At 33.8% G+C, this 21,065-nt stretch overlaps 1 protein-coding gene across 5 annotated transcripts in view; it reads right to left on the reverse strand.

Moving 5' to 3' along the window:
* ASCC3 (activating signal cointegrator 1 complex subunit 3) overlaps window positions 1–21,065 on the reverse strand; it is a 373,136-nt gene that overhangs the window by 182,818 nt on the left and 169,253 nt on the right. The gene's annotated exons all lie outside the window — the stretch shown is intronic.

The following is a 21,065-nucleotide window of genomic DNA, read 5'->3' on the forward strand; positions in this document are numbered from 1 at the left end:
AACTGCTATATTTTATTAAAAGAAATCAACAATACTTTACATCTCCTAAAATCTAAAAGATATCTGTATTAAAAAGTATAATTTAAAAAACCAGAGGACTAAGTGTACATTATGTACCATGACAGCAAAAATACAAGTAGTCATATTTCTAAGCCAACTATAAAAAATATTATCTTACAATCAATTCACCAATATAGCAAGACATTGTACAATATATTTAGAAACATAAGACATATTTCAGCAGTCCCTGAAATACTAGGACCCCAGAAAATACAACAAAACGTATAGTTTATTAAGTATAAAATTTTAAAACAGTAAATATTTTGAATGCATTTCTCCTTTACTGTAAATTTTTTCTTTAATGAAAACAATGTTTTCTTAAGCATATGTATTTTTTGGAGGTAAAATAATTTATGTCATCCAACTGATGCTTGAATAAATTTTCTATACATTCTTAATATGCATTCAATTAATCTGAGATATGAATTCATTTTTGCAACTTATATTTATAAACATGAATAACTTAATACTATAATGCTATAAATAAATGTGTATTTTACACCTTAACATTTTCTTGAACATAGACTATGTTATAATTTTTATTTGGTATTTATAACATACAGAAGAAAATAAAGATAATCATACACGTTAATTTTACTTGCTCATAATTACTTATACAAATTTAATATAAATCAATTGTTTTTGTTTTAGAAAAATTTTTTAGCAATCTAGACTAACTTATCAAATTCTTACCTGATGCCAGACTAATCTATATAACATATAGACTTGTGCTGAATATCAGCAGTGTTTAAGAATCAAGTAGACCTATGTTCAAATCATAGCTCAGCATTTATATACTAGATAAACTTGGGCAAGTTCACCCGCACTTCAATTTTTATCTGTAAGATGGAGATAACAGTACCTGCCTTACAAGGGTGCTGTGGGAACAACAAACAATAATTACAAAGTACTAGGAAGACACCTGGCACATGGAAGTGATCTATTTGGTAGGCCAACGTTTAGTTGTTTTACAGAAGTTTTTCTAACATTCACCCAGATTTATTTGTTAAACTTCCCATTCATTGGGACCAAGACCAATACTGATCTACTTGTGGCAAGAGGAAAGCAAAACTGAACTACTATTTACATATAACAATTCTTCAAATATTTGGAAACTGCTATCATATCTCTGGTATGACTTTCTCTTTCTTGAACTAAACATCACCAGTTCTCAATGCTGTTTTTCATAAATGATGGTTTTTCATGGTTTGACACTATATGAGTTCTATGTACTTTATACTTCTTCAATACTAAAAAGTATACGTTCAAGCAAGATAATTTGCTGAAGAAATTTTTTTAAAAATTTATAAATGCTTCACGTCTAAATTGTTCTTAGCTTGATAATATGGTTTAATATGATTATATTTTCAAAAATATATGAGCTTGAACATCAACTCCAGTTAGAAACTTGAAAAAAACTTTAGTAACTTAAAATTATCATGAAACTACAGATCTTTCACCCACACTATTGAAAATTTCCTTAGGCCTCAGATTTTCTAGTTGGAATTTTAAAAATTATTCTTTTCTTTTTTTCTTTTGTTCCAATTGGAATTTATAAACATATTCTCTGAATTGTTTTCTCTCTTTAGGGCATTAAGTGGTTAAATGAAGATGTCAGTTTTGTGGTGGGAAAAAACTTTGAAATGGAAGTGAAGAAGCCAAGGTTCTATTCTCAATTCCAAAGCATAAGCATATTTCACTTTGGGCATAGTATTAGGCTTAGTTTTCTCATCTGTAAATAAGCAGTTGGACTAGGAGAACTTGATGATGCTTTAGAAGATTTAATGACAAGATCAACATAATGATGATCTATTAAATACCATCTTTGAAATACTTTTTTTATAAAATAAAATTATTAGGGACCTGATCAGAAGATGTTAAAAATATGATTTAATAAATATAACCTACAATTTAAGGAAAAAATTAGAATATTATCCATTTTAACTTTTAAGTAAGTAATATAACTCAACAGTATTTTGGCAATGATTCAAATTATAAAGACAGAATATATAATGATATGAATTTAAGATACATATATATGATGACTATAGAGTATATCTTCTTTATATCACATTTGATTATAAGTTTTTGATACACTCATAACTGTTATTTATGTTGAAAGCATTTAAATTGAAAACTTGATATTGTTACAGGTATTTATATAAAAGCATTTAGCCAAACCAACAAACTGAGGTGTTCAAGTTTTGGTCTGTATAGTGAAGGTAGTATGAATTGTGAGAATCTCCATATGCAAGGAGTCCACAATCACTGAGAAAAAATAACAAAACTGAGGGTGGAAAGGCTGTGGGAAAAAAAAAAAGCTTTCAAACTCAGTGCTGGTTTGTAGAGTTGGGGCAGCATTTTCAGTTACAGGTCTGTCTTATTATATATGCAAATACTTGACTTTATACCTGATTTGAGAAAATGGAGGAATCACAGTTGTTCAATGAATAAGACATTATATTTGAAACCATATAGTACACCCAATCAGTATTCACTTAGTATAGACAATTAGTGTTCAAGCTGGGATTTTAGGACCAAAAGGGAAAACTGCTGATTTGCTTGGTCCAATGCATACATGACAAAGTAGATGACCAAATTCCATTTCTGTAACAAAAATGAAATAGATACTCCATATGTGAAATATGTCTACTAAGTGTCACCACAGAACAGAAATTATTAATCTTTATGTAAATTATGAGAAACTAATGCTGTAAGGAAGCAGTTTAAAAATTTTTTTTAGCTGTGGAATTTGTTCTTACAACAAACTCTTGTAGCAGCTCAATATATTAAAAATAAATAAATAAACAAAAAGATTAAAGCGACTGAAGTGGATCTGAGAGAAATCCACATCTCTTTTCTCACTTCCAAACAGCACACTTCTCCCTACTCCTAACCTCATGACAGCAATTCCTGTGACACCTCAGAGCAACCTGAAGCAGTCTAAATATTACAGGTATAGGAGGAAATCTTCCAGTGGAAAGGGACTGTGGAAAATTATATTTGCTCTTGGATAAAAGTTTGAAAATTCTAAAATCTCATCATCCCTTTCATTTTCCTGAATAATATTTTTGGGAAAAAAATTGGTAAAAATTTCTATTTAAAAATAAAACAGTCCAGGTAGGTGGCTCCTGCCTTTAATCCCAGCACTTTGGGAGGCCTAGGCTGGAGGGTCACTTGAGGTCAGGAGTTTGAGATTAGCCTGGGCAACAAAGGGAGACCCCATCTCTAGAATAAATTAAAAAAAAAAAAAAAGCTGGGCACAGTGGCACATGTCTGTAGTCCCAGCTACTTGGGAGGCTGAGATGGGAAGTGGCTTGAAGCCCAGGAGTTTGAGACAGCAGTGAGACAGCAGTGAGCTATGATCACACTACTACACTCTAGCCTGGGTGACAGAGGAAGGCTCAATCTCAATCAATCAATCAAAGATAAAACAGTTTCATTGTTTCTAAAGAGTTTATAAAACCATTCCCTACTAAAGAGACTAGGTGTGTTTGCAGAAATAGTTAATTCCAAGTCTGAGAAGTGGAAAGTACAAAATTAGATCTTAGAAGATCCTATTGTGCAAAATGGTAAAAACCAGAAGCTAGCTTGAAGGGGCTTCCACTGGCCAAATTTGGGCCAATATTATCTTCAAAGTAAATTGTATAGTGATAGATTGTAACACTTTCAAGATGTCCACAGAGTAAATTATAAAAGTCCACAGAGATATAAATTAATAAATAGGGGAAAGGAAGCTATTCCATACATATAGTGGGATGAAGGAAATGATGGAGTTAGAAAATCATCAAAAGATGCTAAAATGAATGGGTAAAAGTTTGATGAGGGGCACTATATATTTAGTCACACAAGTATCTCCTCCCTTATTAGAAACAAAGGGGAAAATAATAACTTTATATGGAGAAACTTAGAGGAAACAACCTTTAACAAGTGATAAAAATGAATGTCAGCAATACTGGACAAATCCAATAACATTTACTACCTGGTGTCAAGTACTAAGACATAACTTCACTTCTGTTGTATTATTGTTACAAAGCCAATAGGGCTTAATCATGAAAAAACTTTAGACAAACTCAAATTGGGAGTCATTTTACAAAATAATTGATATACGCTCTTTGAAAAATGTCAAAGTCAAATCCAGAAAGACAAAATAAGGTCAAAGAACTGTTCTAAATTAAAGGAAACTAAACGGACATGATAAATTAATGCAATATGCAATCTTGGACAGGGATCTTGAACCAGAAAAAAAATTATCTATAAAAGACATTATTATTCCTTATTAATACAGATGCAAAAATCATCAACAAAATACTAGCAAGTTTAGTAGACCCTGTGTGTCCCTTCCAGACACCTTGGGTCTTGTTGGAAGGTAATCCTCCCTGAAATTTCTGGTGTTCCTACACGTCCAGGGCCTTCTGAGTAATAGAAACTAAAGTGCTAAACAGACAGAGAATGTCTTCATTTCCCCAGAGCCATTTTCTCCAATTCAAAGGGTAACAAAAGCCTAGAGACTCCTTTCTTATCTCCCAAGGAGTCAACTGCTTACTTTCCAAGATATAGGCCTTCCTTTCCTTCCTCAAGGGAGTCTGGTAACCATAGTAAAAGATAAGGTCCCTGCATGGCCAATTGGTCTACTTTTTTTCTCTCCTCTCTTTCTCTCTCCAGAGGAGAGGATGAACAGATGTGCCCATAGCTCCTATACAAGCTCAGAGTTTCATAATTTTGGAGTACCTCTCCTGTGGTGCAACCCATGCACATGCAGTAGCTGGCTCTCGCCATGTAGATAGACCAGTGGAGAGTTAGGGAGAAGCAACACGGTCTGTACCCTGACCCAGGTGTCAAAGTTAGCCTATGGCAGGCTACCTTTTAGTATGCAGGTAGGGCAACATCTTAGACACTTCACAGTTTCAGACTTATTTAACAGGTCTCTGACTGTATTTCTGGAGCAGTTACTAATTTAAATGATGGGCTATTTAGAAATGCCCACTTTATTTACCATAATATAGTGATAGCTACATTTCTCATCTACTCAATTATAAAACAAAGAAAAAAGGAGATGAGATCTAAGACTATGATGTTATTCTCTTAAAAACAGAACATTATTTTACAATATTAAATATAGACACATAATTTTTCTTTCCATCCCCTCTCACTTAAATATGCTACTATGAAAACAAACAAAAAATTGATAAAAATGACAGCTACAGATAAAGACAGTACAAATGTATAATGGTTAATCATATTTGAATATTTATCTCCTTTTTTTCACATTGAGAAAATACATGGATAATTGTATCAGATTTCGTTGGCACATAAAATTTCATATTCGGCTTTAATAAAAAATACTCTGTTCAATTTTATCAAATGATTTCTCTAAAAATGTAGTCAACAAATGTTTATGGTAGTAACCTAACTTATTAACTATATTTACCAATGGCTTAAGTCCAAATATCAGGTGGAAAGAAGCTAATAAGGAGATTCAATACATCATTCTCTAGAATGAAATAAATAGCTGTCAAATAAACTTCTAATAATACAATGTAAAATACTCCCAATGGATGTTTAGAGAATTTTCTACAACTTTATAAAGACAGAAAAATGACTGCAAGCAAACATTATTTTAGCATGACTAAAGGCTATACTTAAACAACAATAAATTAATTCAAATAAATAGTATAAAATAAACATGTATACAAGTTAGGTTTCATTTTTGCCAAAATAAATAAAATTAACGAAAGTATGATGTATTTCACAGAAGTGAATATTTTAAAATAGGTTCAAAGGTCCTTTTATATTATTTAATTTGACAATTATATATGTGTATACATATTAAATTACATATATATGCACACTGTAATATGATATTGTAATCATGAAATCACACAAATAAATTGCCAAATAATCTAATGCATTCAACTCCTAAACCAGAAATATTTGATTTAAATCAGCTTGATCTATGTTGAATCTTTCAAAAACCAAAATTTTAAAACACATTTTATATAACAACTAAGTCTACTTTTATGTAGCAAGTCAGAAAACATGCATTTATGCATTGGCTACATGCACATAAAGCACATACATGCAGGGCCCAATAGTAATATCTGCTTTTATGCAAGACATTCTGGAGGTGTGAAACAAAACAAGATAAAAATTACAAAGTGCTATGGTAAAAAAAAAATAGTACCTAGTTAACAAGGCAAAGCAACTTGTATTAGCTATCTTCACATTTTGCTGCTTGAGACATAAAGATGGATAGTTAAAAAGGGGAATCAAAGAAGATTTAAAGAATGAAGAAATGGATGGAAAAGTTGGTAACTTCTATAAGCAATTTATACTGAGACACACAAAAAAAAAGAGATAATGCTAATACATAATAGAGGCAAAGACTTGAAGTGAATGAAACATTAGCTTCACTGTCCTGGTTTAAATCTAATTTTATATAAGTTCCTTGGCATTCAACAATGTAACTGTATTAAAAAAAAAAACATTTTCAAGAAAATAAACAAAACTACTTGTTTTGCTTCCAATTATTTCCAAAATTATGCACAGTATTTTCTTTTGATATTTTGGGTAAAACTTAAAATGGGAAGACAAGAATGAAAAAAGAACATTTACTGCATACTTACATACCTAGGATATCCAATTCCCATCAATATGACAATTGGAACTGAGGTGGCCAAGAGGTAAAAAGAAATATTATTTGCCATCAGCAGAAAGGCTGGTAACGGAAGGAATTTTTCCATGAAAATTTAAATCTATCTTAAGAGATTTTATTAAAATTTCCCTAATCACATTCACTACTATCAACAAAGAAGTTGGGAATAGGTCTATGGCATGCACAAAGGCAGATCTAAGCTTAGTTTATATCTTCAAATTCCTAAACATCATTCGGAGACAAACTGTTCCACTGTGCTCTTTCAGTTTGTGCAGTAATTCCAGAAATCACTGATTAATGGTTTAAAAATCATTTAGAAAGCTCAAATGCTTAAATATATGTACATTTGTAGATGTCTGTATTTGCAAGGAGGAAACTGAATACACTTCAAAGATAGGAGTATTAGGTGTAAGGTGATGTGGGGGGAAACTAACTCATTAGCCTTTTCTTTTTATATCTTTGCATCCATTCACTTGTTACAAGTATGTATTAGTTCAGTAACTTGAAAATCCTCAAAGACTTAGGAAAAAATTGTTAATAGCAATGAAGAAAAATACAATACTAATATTCCTCATTAAAAAGTATTCCTTTGAAAATGAGAACAAAATAACAAGGTTAATTTTAAAAACTGTTGTATAAAATTTCAAAAATATAATGGAGTGCTCTTATGATAAGCTAGCTATATTTCAGAAAAACAAAAATTTTCTCTGCTCTAAAATCTAAATTTTTAAAAGGGCTCCAAATTTACTACTCAAGGGCTTAATGAATAGAAATTTAAAAAAGCAAAAATATACTAACTTAAAATAACTGGTGACAAAAATGATAAGTCTGTATCATGAAAAAATAGTGAAGTTGGATGGACATCTTAAATTAGGAGAAATTAGATAATTTAATACTTCTAATAGAAAGATCTATAACTAGATGAAATAATAAGAGCAAATTTACATAAAAAATGTTTTTAAGGAGAATACTGACATTCTTTCATTGATCTTTACAGACCACAGAGGGAAAAAAATCCTTAAGAAGGTAGTCAAAGCTACCTTTGTTACTGTTCCACATCTCAAAGTTGTTTTCCCTTCAGCCTCTACTTTCAGCTTACCAAAGAACTAATAATTATCTTCTTGATTTTTCTTGAAGTTGTTTTGCCCCCCTGATCTTATAAGATCAGACTTAAGCAGAAGACTTCACCTATTCACTTATTCATCAAACACTGTCTGAGCACCAACTATATGCCAAGTGCTGGTGAGGCCATGGGAATAGGGTCATGTGCTACATAACCACATTTTGATCAACATTGGACAACATATATGACATTGGTCCCATATAAGGGCTATATCATATATAGCCTAGGTACATGGTAGGCTATATCATCTAGGTTTGTGAAAGTACACTCTATAATGTTTGCACAACGAAATAATGCATCATATGGTTTGGCTGTGTCCCCACACAAATCTCATCTTGAATCGTAATGTAACTCCCACAATTCTGATGTGTCGTGGGACTAACACGGTGGGAGGTAATTGAATCATGGGGGTGGGTCTTTCCTGTGCTGTTCTTGTGATAGTGAATAAGTGTCACAAGATCTGACAGTTTTAAAAACGGGAGATTCCCTCTACAAGCTCTCTCTTTTCCTGCCGCCATCCATGTAAGACATGACTTGCTTCTCCTTGCCTTCTGCCATGACTGTGAGGCCTCCTCAGCCATGTGGAACTGTAAGTATGTGAAACCTCTTTTTTTGTAAATTGCTCAGTCTTAGGTAAGTCTTTATCAGCAGTGTGAAAATGGACTAATACAGTAAATTTGTACCAGTAGAGTGAGGTGCTACTGAAAAGATACTCAAAAATGTGCAATGACTTTGGAACTGGGTAGCAGGCAGAGGTCAGAACAGTTTGGTGGGTACAGAAGAAGACAGGAAGATGTGGGAAAGTTTGGATCTCCCTAGAGACTTGTTGAATGGCTTTGAACAAAATGCTGATAATGATTTGGGCAATGAAATCTGGGCTAAGGTGGTCTTAGATGGAGATGAGGAACTGGAGCAAAGGTGACTCTTGTTATGTTTTAGCAAAGAGACTGGCGGCATTTTGCCCTTGCCATAGAGATTTGTGGAACTTTGAACTTGAGAGAGATGATTCAGGGTATCTGCTGGAAGAAATTTCTAAGCAGCAAAACATTCGAGAAGTAACTTGGGTGCTGTTAAAAGCATTCAGTTTTAAAAGGGAAACAGAGCATAAAAGTTGGGAAAATGTGCAACCTAACAATGCAGTAGAAAAGAAAATCCCATTTTCTAAGTAGCAATTCAAGTCTGCTGCAGAAAATTGCATAAGAAAAGAGGAGCCAAATGTTAGTCACCAAGACAAAGGGGAAAATGTCTCTGGGGCATGTCAGAGACCTTTGTGGCAGCCCAACCCATCACAGGCCCAGAGGTCTAGGAGGAAAAAGTGGTTTTGTGGGCTGAACCCAGGGTCCCCATGCTGCGTGCAGCCTAGGGACTTGGTGCCTTCCATCCCAGCTGCTCCAGCTATGGCCCCAAGTCTTGGCAGCCTCCATGTAGTGTTGAGCCTGTGAGTGCACAGAAGTCAAGAATTGAGGTTTGGGAACCTCTGCCTAGATATCCGATGATGTATGAAAATGTCTGGATACCCAGGCAGAAGTTTGCTATAGGGATGGGGTCCTCATCGAGAACCTTTGCTAGGGTGGGAGCCTCCACACAGAGTCCCTACTGGGGCACCACCTAGTAGAGCTGTGAGAAGAGGGCCACCATCCTCCAGACCCCAAAATGGTAGATCCACTGACAGCTTGCACCAGGCACCTGGAAAAGCCACAGAAACTCAACACCAGCTCGTGAAAGCAGCTGGGAAGGAGGCTGTACCCTGCAAAGCCACAGGGGTGGAGCTGCTCAAGGCCATGGGAGCCCACCTCTTGCATTCAGCATGAACTGGATGTGAGACATGGAGTCAAAGGAGATCATTTTGGAGGTTTAACATTTGACTGCCCCACTGGATTTTGGACTTGTATGGGGCCTGAAGCCCCTTTGTTTTGGCTAATTTCTCCCATTTGGAATGCTGTATTTATCCAATGCCTGTACCCCATTGTATCTAGGAAGTAACTAACTTGCTTTTGATTTTACAAGCCCATAGGCAGACGGGATTTCCCTTGTCTGGATGAGACTTTGGACTGCGGGCTTTTGAGTTAATGCTGAAATGAGTTAAGACTTTGGGGAACTGTTGGGAAGGCATGATTGGTTTTGAAATGTGAGGACATGAGATTTGGGAGGGGCCAGGGTGGAATGATATGGTTTGGCTGTGTCCCCACCCTAATCTCATCTTGAATTGTAACTCCCACAATTCCCATGTTTCATGGGAGGAACCCGGTTGGAGGTACTTGCCAAATAAATTGCCAAATAATCTAATGCATTCAACTCCTAAACCAGAAATATTTGATTTAAATCAGCTTGATCTATGTTGAATCTTTCAAAAATCAAAAATTTAAAACAAATTATATAAAACAACTAACTTTACTTACTCCCACAATTCCTTTACTCATGGCGGTGGGTCTTTCCTGTGCTATTCTCATGATTGGGAATAAGTCTCAAGATCTGATGGTTTTAAAAACAGGAGTTTCCCTGCACAAGCTCTCTCTCTTTGCCTGCCACCATCCATGTAAGATGTGACTTGCTCCTCCTTGCCTTTTGCCATGATTGTGAGGCCTCCCCAGCCATGTGGAAATCTAAGTGCATAAAACCTCTTCCTTGTGTAAATTGCCCAGTCTTGGGTATGTCTTTATCAGCAGTGTGAAAATGGACTAATACAGTGCCTAACGGTGCATTTCTCAGAATGCATCCCCATGCATTAAGCAACGCATGTCAGTACAATGGTGAGCAAAACCAGAGACAGCCCTTGTTGTAATAGGAATTATGATCCTATAATAAAGGGTGACACTAATTTTAAAAAGCCAAAAAATGTAAAACTATAGCTGGAATTACGAATAAGATATACAGTGTTATTACAGCTTATAATAAGAAGGTGACAGTCAGGGATGTTTAAAAAAAAGGGTTTCTCTGAGAAAGATGAAGTCTGAAGAATTTGGTAGAGTACAACTAAGTGAAGAGAATAAGGATGTGTGAGTCATAGGGAACAATTTGTACAAAAGCCCCAAGAAAAGTAAAAGAGCATCACTATGATGAGGGATGAAAGAAGGCGTGGGAGGTGGAAGTGAGAGAGAAAGTAAGAAAGAGAGAGAGAAATATGTAAAGAAGAAGCAGGTAATGGCAAAACAATATGAGAATAACTGGGCCCTTATACAGGAACTTTAATCATTTAAATGTCATACTGGAACCGTGTTTTGAAAGCCAGGTCTAGCTAGCTGCTATGTACAGTCTGTCAATAAGAGGGACAGAATGAAGGCAGGCAGGGCAGTTAAGAAGTGGCTAGAGTAGTCCAGGAAAGACATGATGGTTGCTTGGCTTACGTAGTGGTGGCAGAAAGAGGAGGGAATGGAGAGAAATGGGCAGACTTAAGAGATACTTAGGAGGTAAACTAGATAGGCATTGGTGAGGGTTTACAAATGAGACTGAGGGAGAGAGAGTTGACAAGGATGATGTTTTGGTTTCTGGCTTATGGAACTAAATCTATAGTCATGCCATTCACTAAGCTAAGGAATGACAGATTACTACCATTTTGTAGGGGGAGATTACAAATTTGGTTCAGATACACTGTATTTGAGACACCCAAGAGAAAAGGCCAGCCACACAGGATCATATGGATCCAGAGCTCAGAAAAGAGGTCTGGGTTTGGAGTACAAATATGTAAGGTAGTTCTATAAAGGTCATAATTGGGATGGGATAAAACCACAAGAAAGAGAGCTAAATTTATAAAGGGTCTAAGGCCACGCCTGGTAGAGAAGGAAAATGCTATAAAGAATGAGGAATGGGCAAAGAGATTAGAGGATAAAGAAAAACAGAGTTTTGTGTCAAAAAGAGTAAGGAGATAGGTAAAAGGTAAAATCAGCATTTTGCAAGTATTTCCACTTCTACAACCTCCACCTAATCTATTGATTATTTTATTCACAATTGTGAGCTCTTATTATCAGGGAATTTTATCTTTTTGTAAAAACAACCTTTTATTGAGGGTGTATCAAGCTTTGAATTTTCCTTGATATTTAGTTAAAAATGTGCTAATCACCTTTGGCTTTGGTTTTGGAAGTGTGAACAGCAGAATGCCTAGGTCAACATGATTTTTCCTGTTCTTGAATTAGGCATGACCAATGATCATGTGATAATGTTTATTACCATAGTTTTTGACCAGTCTAATAGCATAATATAAACAAGACATGCCATCTGGATTTTTTTTTCTAAATATCATAAATGTTTTCTGTCATCTTGAAAATCAGTTCCATTCTCCACTGATACTTCTAAATGAACTGTTCAAGAGCAGCTGCTTTTTCAAATAATTGTGTAGAATAAAAAGTAAACACAAAAATAATAGAAATTTAAAAACGTAAGAGGACAATAATTTTCAACCCCTTTCTAAAAATATTTGGAAAACACTATATTTAAACACTGTACAAAGCTTCAGTTTGTAAGTTTGCTTAAATAAAACAGTACCATTTAGCAATGACCAAATCTTCAAGATTAGGAGAGAAGAGACAAATACTTACTTAAGTAACTTATTATCAGAGAGAAAGAATAGCTTAATAATTTGGTGACAGTAAAATAAGTCTTGCTCTTCTACTGGTCTCAGCTGAAAATGAGCATTTATTAGTATCCCCAATATGCAGTATATTAATGACAAGATTACTCTAGCAGCTTACGGTGCTAAGAAATTATTGCTTTTGAATTACAATGTCCAATTTTTAAAATCTAACTACTAAATTTATAATTATAATTAAATTCTCTTTGATAAATTTTCATTATATTCTACTAGAAATTCCTTCTATGATGGTGATATTTTCTTCTGGCCTTTACTTTAACCAAATGTTGATGTTAACTTTCAACTATCTGGCATTTGGCCCATATAGGATGATAATGCACTTCCAACTCTTCCAAACACCTTACCCATAGAATGTCTATAACAAATGACTGTTAACAAAGGAATGAATAAATGGATAAATGTATAACCTCAATGTCTTATCCTCTTCTCTCTATAAAAGGGCCACTGTTAATGAAAAAGTACATCAAGTATCAACTATTGTTTTTATATATTAGTTATATACAAATATATTAATGAAATTTTTATCTTATATATAGGAAAGTTTTAAAATTCTAAGCAAATACTTGTAATATTAACTTAAAAGTAAAATAGAAAACTCAACATTACCAAGAAGTATTTTTTTTTTTTGCCTGTGCAATATGGATAGGGGAATTTCAATTTGACAGAAGACTCAACAGAGCTTTTCACTTTTTTAAAAGTAGACGTTTAGAAAATGATTCCTTTAGATTTTCTTGTACTTAAAAAACACCTGAAATATTTCTTTAGTAGTACTATCTTTAGTGGTAAAGATGAAGGAGAAATATCTTTAATTCTTGTGCTCCTAATTAAAATGTCTCCTTCGACTCTAGCTTTTATATTCCTTTGGAATTACATCTCAGTTGAAAGTGGGAAGCGGAGTAAAGAAAGAAGCACTCAAATAATTCACAAATAAAAGTCATGCGAGGCAAATTTGATATAGCAGAAACACTAGTACTGAGAATTAGAGATGCTTATTATATCTGGAGAATATAAACTTTATAGGCAAAGGGCCAATGGAAAGTTTCATTATTTAAGTTAGCATGATGGAATTTGTTTTGATTTTTACATAATTAATTTACATAATTAAACTAAGAAATAATGATTAGAAATAAAAATAATTTTCTTCAGATAGTAATAAATTAATCTATAATTATTAGTCAATTTTTAAAGGTGATTTCTTAGAAATAGAAATGTCTACTAACAACTTATAAACAATGAGGAAAGAGAAAATAAGACACACATCTAAACAAAGGCTGATGTTCAGCATTAATCCAAGGTTGAAGAAGACTTTTTTTGTCTTTAGTATCACAAGGCCTTTTATTCCTTAAAACTGAAGGTAGATTTTCAGTAAGAAGCTGCAAAGAATTTAACTTTTTTGACAATATGGAAAAGAACCTAAATTAACTTACTAAATATGCCATAATCTCTGAGGAAGTTTCTAATTTCTTTTCCTATAACTGTAACAAAGTTTGTATAACAAGAAAAATCTCAATAGAGTTAAGGCATTAATTATTTTCCCATTCTGCAAGTTACACAGGAGGAGGGGAATTATTAGCCGGAATGATAAAGCTGTACTTGCATTTGGTAACACAAAGAGAAGCTTACAAATGAGACGTCTCATTAGTTTGAGCAGATGGATCAAAATTAAAGGCTGAATCGCCAACTTTTGATTTCCCAATAGCCAAGAAGAGCTTGAAGTCTTGCAGAGTAGGACTGTTGAAAAGTCAACATGAAAAGATTTTCTCCATCTGTCATCACACATGCCTGAGTGGAACACAACTGCCTCCTACTGTTTTTAACACTTTTAAGGCAAAGTTGCACATAAAATCTATTAAGTACACGAGCACGCAAGTTTAGATCACTAAAACCCATGGAATAGTATGATCAGAGAACATCAGCATGGTTTTTGAACAAGAAATTTGTTTTAATCCAAATAAGGAGAAACAAATTGAATTCATTTGTTTATTTAAGATAAAACTGTTAATTTTTTGCCTAAAAAGTGTTTAGTTGCCTGAGAGTCATAGTTCTTTTGTTTTCGAATGGACATGTATTTCAGTCTTCTCACTAATGGTTTGAAACGTAGCTTCTCTGATAAAACCAAAGTACTTAAGGAAACCAAACCAGGGAGAAATCCAAGATACTGAACAACTTGAAGGCAAGAAAAAAGCAAATTCCGAAGAGTATTCACTTTTTTTTAACTGATTGTGGGGAAGAAGGGGCAGGCAGCATGAGGTAGTAGCAGGAAAAATTCAATTAGTTTACTTAGATTAGAATAGACTGCATATTTCTTACTGCTGTACACTGTATTACTAAAACTGCCAAGATATATTTGAAAAATAACAGTTTACGTACACAGCCCCACAAGAAATAACTTGATTTTCCTTAATAAAAAGGAAAGCATATTTATGAAATATGTAATTGGCTGCTTAATAATAATGCGCTATCGTTGACCATTGTTATTGGTAATATTGTTATTAACCATGACCACTGTTAATAACAATGCACTAATATGTAGTTAGTTATAACTATAATGAAATTCCAGAAGCAAATCTCTCTCTCTACATATATATACACACATGCACATAGTATACATACATAATTTACCATACTTACATGTATAACAAAATATTTAAACAGAAAAGAATCTCAGAATGACATACACATATAGTTAGACTTCTCAGTCATCAGAGTTAGAATAATAAAATTGAAGAGTTTATTGGGCTGTCAGTTTTTTAGATAACGTGAAAAACTGTTGAATTATATTTTTTTCATTTTCCGACAGATGGATATATACAAATCACCTACTTAAAGTTATAATTTAAAACCTTATACAAAGACAGCTAGTGACTGGGATAACATTAACTTCAACCTCAATTATTATGAGTTAAAAAAAAACACAACTCAAAAACTATTCTACCGGGAAGTTCTTTGTTGACCTTCTAATACAAGCAGAAGACAGAACACTACAGCTTAGTTAAGGTCAAAGAAAAAAATAATCCTTTACGAGGTTCCAAGTTCCTGAAAACAAACCTCTAAATGAGTCTCAATAATCAATGACTACTATGAAGTACCAGTTCTTGTGTGATGGAATAAATCAAGGGTTGCCAACTTTATTGAAATAGGTATATTTACCAAAATCAAATTGTTTAACAGTCGTGCTTTCCAAGTACCTACTCGGCAATTTTCTGTGCTGGATATAATACAAAGGCATTCAGCAGAAGCTGCCACATAGTAAGCTAACTGATTTTAGGCCAAATAGTATTGGCAGATCAACCTGCAAGTAGAAACCTTAAACAGAGCAAGCCTTTTCAGAAGACTGATACAGAGAGAGATTTCAGTTTTGGGCAACTTTATTATAAAGTTAAACATATAATGTAGGTACTTTCAAGAAATGAAAAATGATAGAACTTTGTTCTTCACTTATGTTGCAAAAGGGCTCTTAAGTTGAGATGATTGCATTAATGTAAAAGACCATTGCCTTATTGGCTTAGTACTTAAAATCTGAAGGCATTGGCCTAGGCATCTGTAATACTAGCAACACTAGAAGCAAATTTCAACTAGTGGACCATAGTCCTGATGCGTTTCATATTTCTATCATCCTCATCTCACAAGTATGTTAAAACTTTGAAGACAAGACAATGCATCAAAATCAAATCATATTTACCACAGACTTCCCATGCATATGATGATATACTGAGAACTAAATCAACAGTATTTCCTTATAACCCAGTCTTTTGTGGTAGGACCTGTCTTGCTGGGACACAAAAAGTAAAAGGACAACATTGTAGAAATCAGAAGAACTGATTAAAAATTTTAAATATAATCCCTTTACCAAAGCATTTATTTACATTTTAATGCTATCATTTCTATTTATGCTTCTGTCATATTTTTGAATGAGAAAAATACAACAGATTAGATAAACTATAGGAATAAAAGAAAAAAAATTAAGGGAATAAAATGCATCAATAAAATGGAAGGACAAATACCAACAGAAGCTACCTCTGGTAGTGGAATTACCAGTGATTATTTTTTCCCCTTCATGTTTGGTTTATGGTATGCCTAAGGGTTAAACTTTAAACTATTTCTTTATTCAGTCTCTTTTGTATTAATCTATTTATTTATTTGTTTGAGTACATTTTATTAAAAGATAAAAATTAAAGTTTACCTCTTTAATAGGGTAAAACAAAAGTGTGCCAGGCAGCTACTGCTAAGAGAGTAGAATTATCACAAAATTGTCTATTTAAAATTAAGAATCCTTTAGAGGTTCACGATGATTGTCCCAATGTAGATGACACTTTTTACAGTATCCTAGACAAAGCATTGTCCAGCTATGGTCAAAAGAAGGATAGCTCCTTTGCAATTCAGTCTATTTCACTGTAGAAAAATTGCAGTTCCTTATATCTAGCTCTCCAGAACTTCCATGCATTGGTTCTAAATCTCTTTGTGCAAAATAGAACATACCTTCCTTTCATATGACAGCCTTTCCATTACCACCACTTTCCCCCAAACCCCACCTGGATTTTCTCTCCTGCAATCTTAACATTCTGGTTTCTCTTGACCATTAACTCAAATTATATGTATTCCCAACTTCTCACAATTGTAATAACCTTCTCTTGAACCTCTATTCTCAAAATATGATACAAAATGACCACAGTACTTGGTAACAAACCAAATTACAACAAAGTTTTCACCTTCCTTGATTTGAACTTTTTTCTCTCTGATGACATTTAAGGTGTCATTAGTTTTTTAAAGTGTATATAATACTTGTTTGAATTAAAGTGAATTTATTCAACTAAAATTATTTTTTCCAAGACAATGCTTCTTTAATTTATACCTATGAAATTTATTATTTGAGTTTAAATGTAGGACTTTACATTTATCCATTAGAAATTTTAGGATGTTGAATTTGAATACTGCCCAGTTGAGATAAATTTATATCTTGGTTCTTTCTTACACGATGTCCTAATATTCATCATTGGCAAATTTTACACACATTTAGATGAAAATACATTCACTAGGAAAGAAATCTCAGGGATGCCTCAAGAGACATCCCTCTAAACAACACTTTTCAACCAAGGGCACTTATGTACCCCGGGGAACATCTGGTAATGTCTGGAGACAGTTTGGGTTGTGATATTTGGAGCGGGGAGAGCCACTGGCATCTACTGGGTAGAGACCAGGGATGCTGCTAAACAACTTACAGTACACAGGACACACCCTCCATCCCCCAAAACACAATTATTCTGTCCAAAATGTCAATATTGCCCATGTCAACAGGCAAAATACATATCAACTGGCTAGGATATATATGTTAATCATATTTAAATCACACTTAAAAAAATTCAGGGGCTAAAAGACCACAGTGTCACAGTATAAAACAAAAATGCAAGAAAGAATAGATTTTACTAATTGAAAATAAGTGTACATCCAAACCAATACATGAACAAATCGTGTGCAATACATGTGTTATTGCAATCGTGATTTAGAGGTAACAATTGCCAATTAAGAAAAAACTTCACTGGTATGACATCACTCTGTTTTCTATGCCTTAAGACCGAAAAAAAAAAAAAATCCAAAATGGCAAACATACATTAGATCATAACCTTACATAGCACTAGATTGATAACAGTATTCAGAAGAAATGGCCTATGTTTATAAAATCCTATGTAGGTCTCCTGTGACAACAAAATGTTTTAATTCATTGGGTATACATTATGGTCATACGGCAAGACCACACAATGTGGCCATTTCTGCCAAAAGTCCATTTTAGGAAATTTATTTAAAGTAAATATTTAAACAAAAATAACAGGTAGAAAGATAATCACTACAGTAGCATAATCTTTAATAACAGAAAACTGCAAACATTTAACGTACTTAATAATGGAGGAATAACCAATAATAACCAATATCAGCTTAATTTCAAAGGGACAGTGTCAAGTTCTGAAGACATTATGGGTTTTATCAACACAAACACCTGCATTTAAGTACTGGTGCCTCTCTTAACTAGCTCTGTGACCTTGGGAAGCTGCTTAACATGCCTTAGGTTCATTTCTCCCTTTAACAAAGAGAAATAATCATGTTATGTCAGAGGACTGGGAAGGTTAAAAGTCCAAAGAGACTTATATGGTATCTGAAAATTAGAACCTGAATAAAGATTCCTTTTTCTCTCTTGCAAACATTAAAATTGTGAAGACCATGTAGAAACATTAAAAAATGTTTATTATTCATTAAGAAAAAGTGAATATAAAACTGTATATATGGTATAATTATAATTTAGTAATGCAGTATAACTAATAATTAATATTAAGTTTGAAGGAGCAAAATTAAAAGGCACATGTGTGAATGGATAAAAGACTAATGGAAAATGTATAAAACTGCAATTACAATGTTAAAATGGTAAAATAATAGAAAACTATAAACAATTTTAATATTGTCATTTTATTTTTATAGCTAACAAACAGTATAGGAGATATGTAGGTATTTCTACAAAACCTGAAGTCCCACTCTTACGGAAAACGAATGTCATCACTAATCATTCAAAAACAGAAACTGTGAGACCTGTATACTAAACCTTACTTCTTAGGGCACGCATCTTAAAGAAGGATCATAGTTATCCTGCTCTAATTCTTCTTTGCAGTAAGGCACTAAAATACAAATCTGGACACGATCTCAGATCCAAAAGTTTGTTAGTAGACTCTTAAACTGCAATCATACTTTACACAATTACCCACAGGGCATTTTTAGCCAGACAAGAAAATAACTTAGAAGTCACACATTCTTAAAGAGCTCATGGATGGAAAAATATGCACACAAAAGATGGAGAGGTGATATTTATCTCTAAATTCTGCCTCAGCTGTGTGCATTCTCCATTCCTAAGTTCTTCATGCCCTAGAGCAACCAGCCCCTGGTAACCTGAAGACTTCTCTTGGGTATCCCATCCAAGTCTATCCTTTCTAACCATGCACAACTACTGTGAAACTAGCCCTCCAACTGACTTTGTCCTATCAGAATTTACCATAGTAAGAGCCTGCCCTCCTCAGTCACCTTTCATTTTGAAAAGTAAGGCAATGAATGGATTTACAATAAAAATAAAAGAGCTGGCAGTAAGATCTCATCTCTACTGACTAAACGCCCCTAGCCAGCATCCAAGTTTTATAATTAATGATTCCTAAGGGGGCATCTTAGTCCCTACTACAGTGAGGGAATTATAACAGAAGAGATAGAGAGGAAAGTTCTCCTAGGATCCCCTATATTACAACATATGTTTGGGTTTTTATCTAAAATAGAAGATATAACTGCTACTTTTCCCAACATTTGGGGATACAGCTGCATTTTATTTTTTAAATAAATATTTTAAAATGTAACATCATCTTAATAAAAAAGCTAGAGTCATATAACAAATACGTTTCAATAATAATTATAAATAGTATGATGAAGGCTATAACCCTAAAAGGCTAAGCAACCCGTAGCTTCTAAAGCCTCAAAATAGCTGTGGTACTGGCAGTAATAGCATTATTAAACTATTTACTCATATAAGCTTGAATTTACAATAGTCTATGTTTATTTATGTGTTTATACATGGCTACATTTATTTATCAATCTCAATAGGAAAAAATTTTCAGAAATTTCTCTTTTTACTCTAAAAAAGTAACTTATTCTAATGCGAAGCAATCCTATGTTCCATACTAAAGTACCAGGTACCTCCTTACCTGGTCATTAAGCATTAACTATGACAGAAAAATAACAATTGCTTTAATTTCTAGGGGCAACACAATAACATTTCTATTAGTGGCCTCTTAAGATTTTTTCATAATGCATGCAAGTCTGATCAGTTACAAAAGATATCGTAAGATGTGGTAGGTATTTTCCTGACTAGATTAAAAAGATAAAATATCTACTATGTGTCCCACAGTAAAGTATTTATATTTTAATTTCCATTAATTAAAAAGAGAAGAAATATTTAAGAGTACTCATTCATAATGAAATCTATAGGGCTGGGCATGGTGGCTCACGCCTGTAATCCCAGCACTTTTGGAGGCCAAGGTGGGTGGATCACCTGAGGTCGGGAGTTCAAGACTAGCCTGACCAACATGGTGAAACCCTGTCTCTACTAAAAATACAAAAAAAATTAGCCGGGTGTGGTGGTACATGCCTGTAATCCCAGCTACTTGGGAGGCTGAAGTAAGAGAATCACTTGAACCCGGAAGGTGGAGGTTGTGGTGAGCTGAGATTGTGCCATTGCACTCCAGCCTGGGCAACAAGAGTGAAACTCTGTCTCAAAAAAACAAAAAACAAAAAACTATCATAGACTAGAAAAGGTTCTCTTGTGATGGAAGAAATGCCACCACAATTAAAAATTATGATGCAAAATGTTATTAATTCACAGTTCAAAATTAAATGGAGACCCAGAATAGCCAACACAATATTGCAAGAGAAAAACAAAGTCAGAGGACAGACACTATCTGACTTTAAGACTTACAAACAGATTAATGAAACAGAACAGAGATCCCAGAAATAGACCCACATAAATACAGTTAACATATCTTTGACTAAGGAACAAGGAGTGAATATAGTCTTTCAAGAAATGATGTTGGAAACAACTGGCCATCAATATGCAAAAAAAA

Source organism: Homo sapiens, chromosome 6 (assembly GCF_000001405.40).
Source record: "Homo sapiens chromosome 6, GRCh38.p14 Primary Assembly".
NCBI lineage: Eukaryota > Metazoa > Chordata > Mammalia > Primates > Hominidae > Homo > Homo sapiens.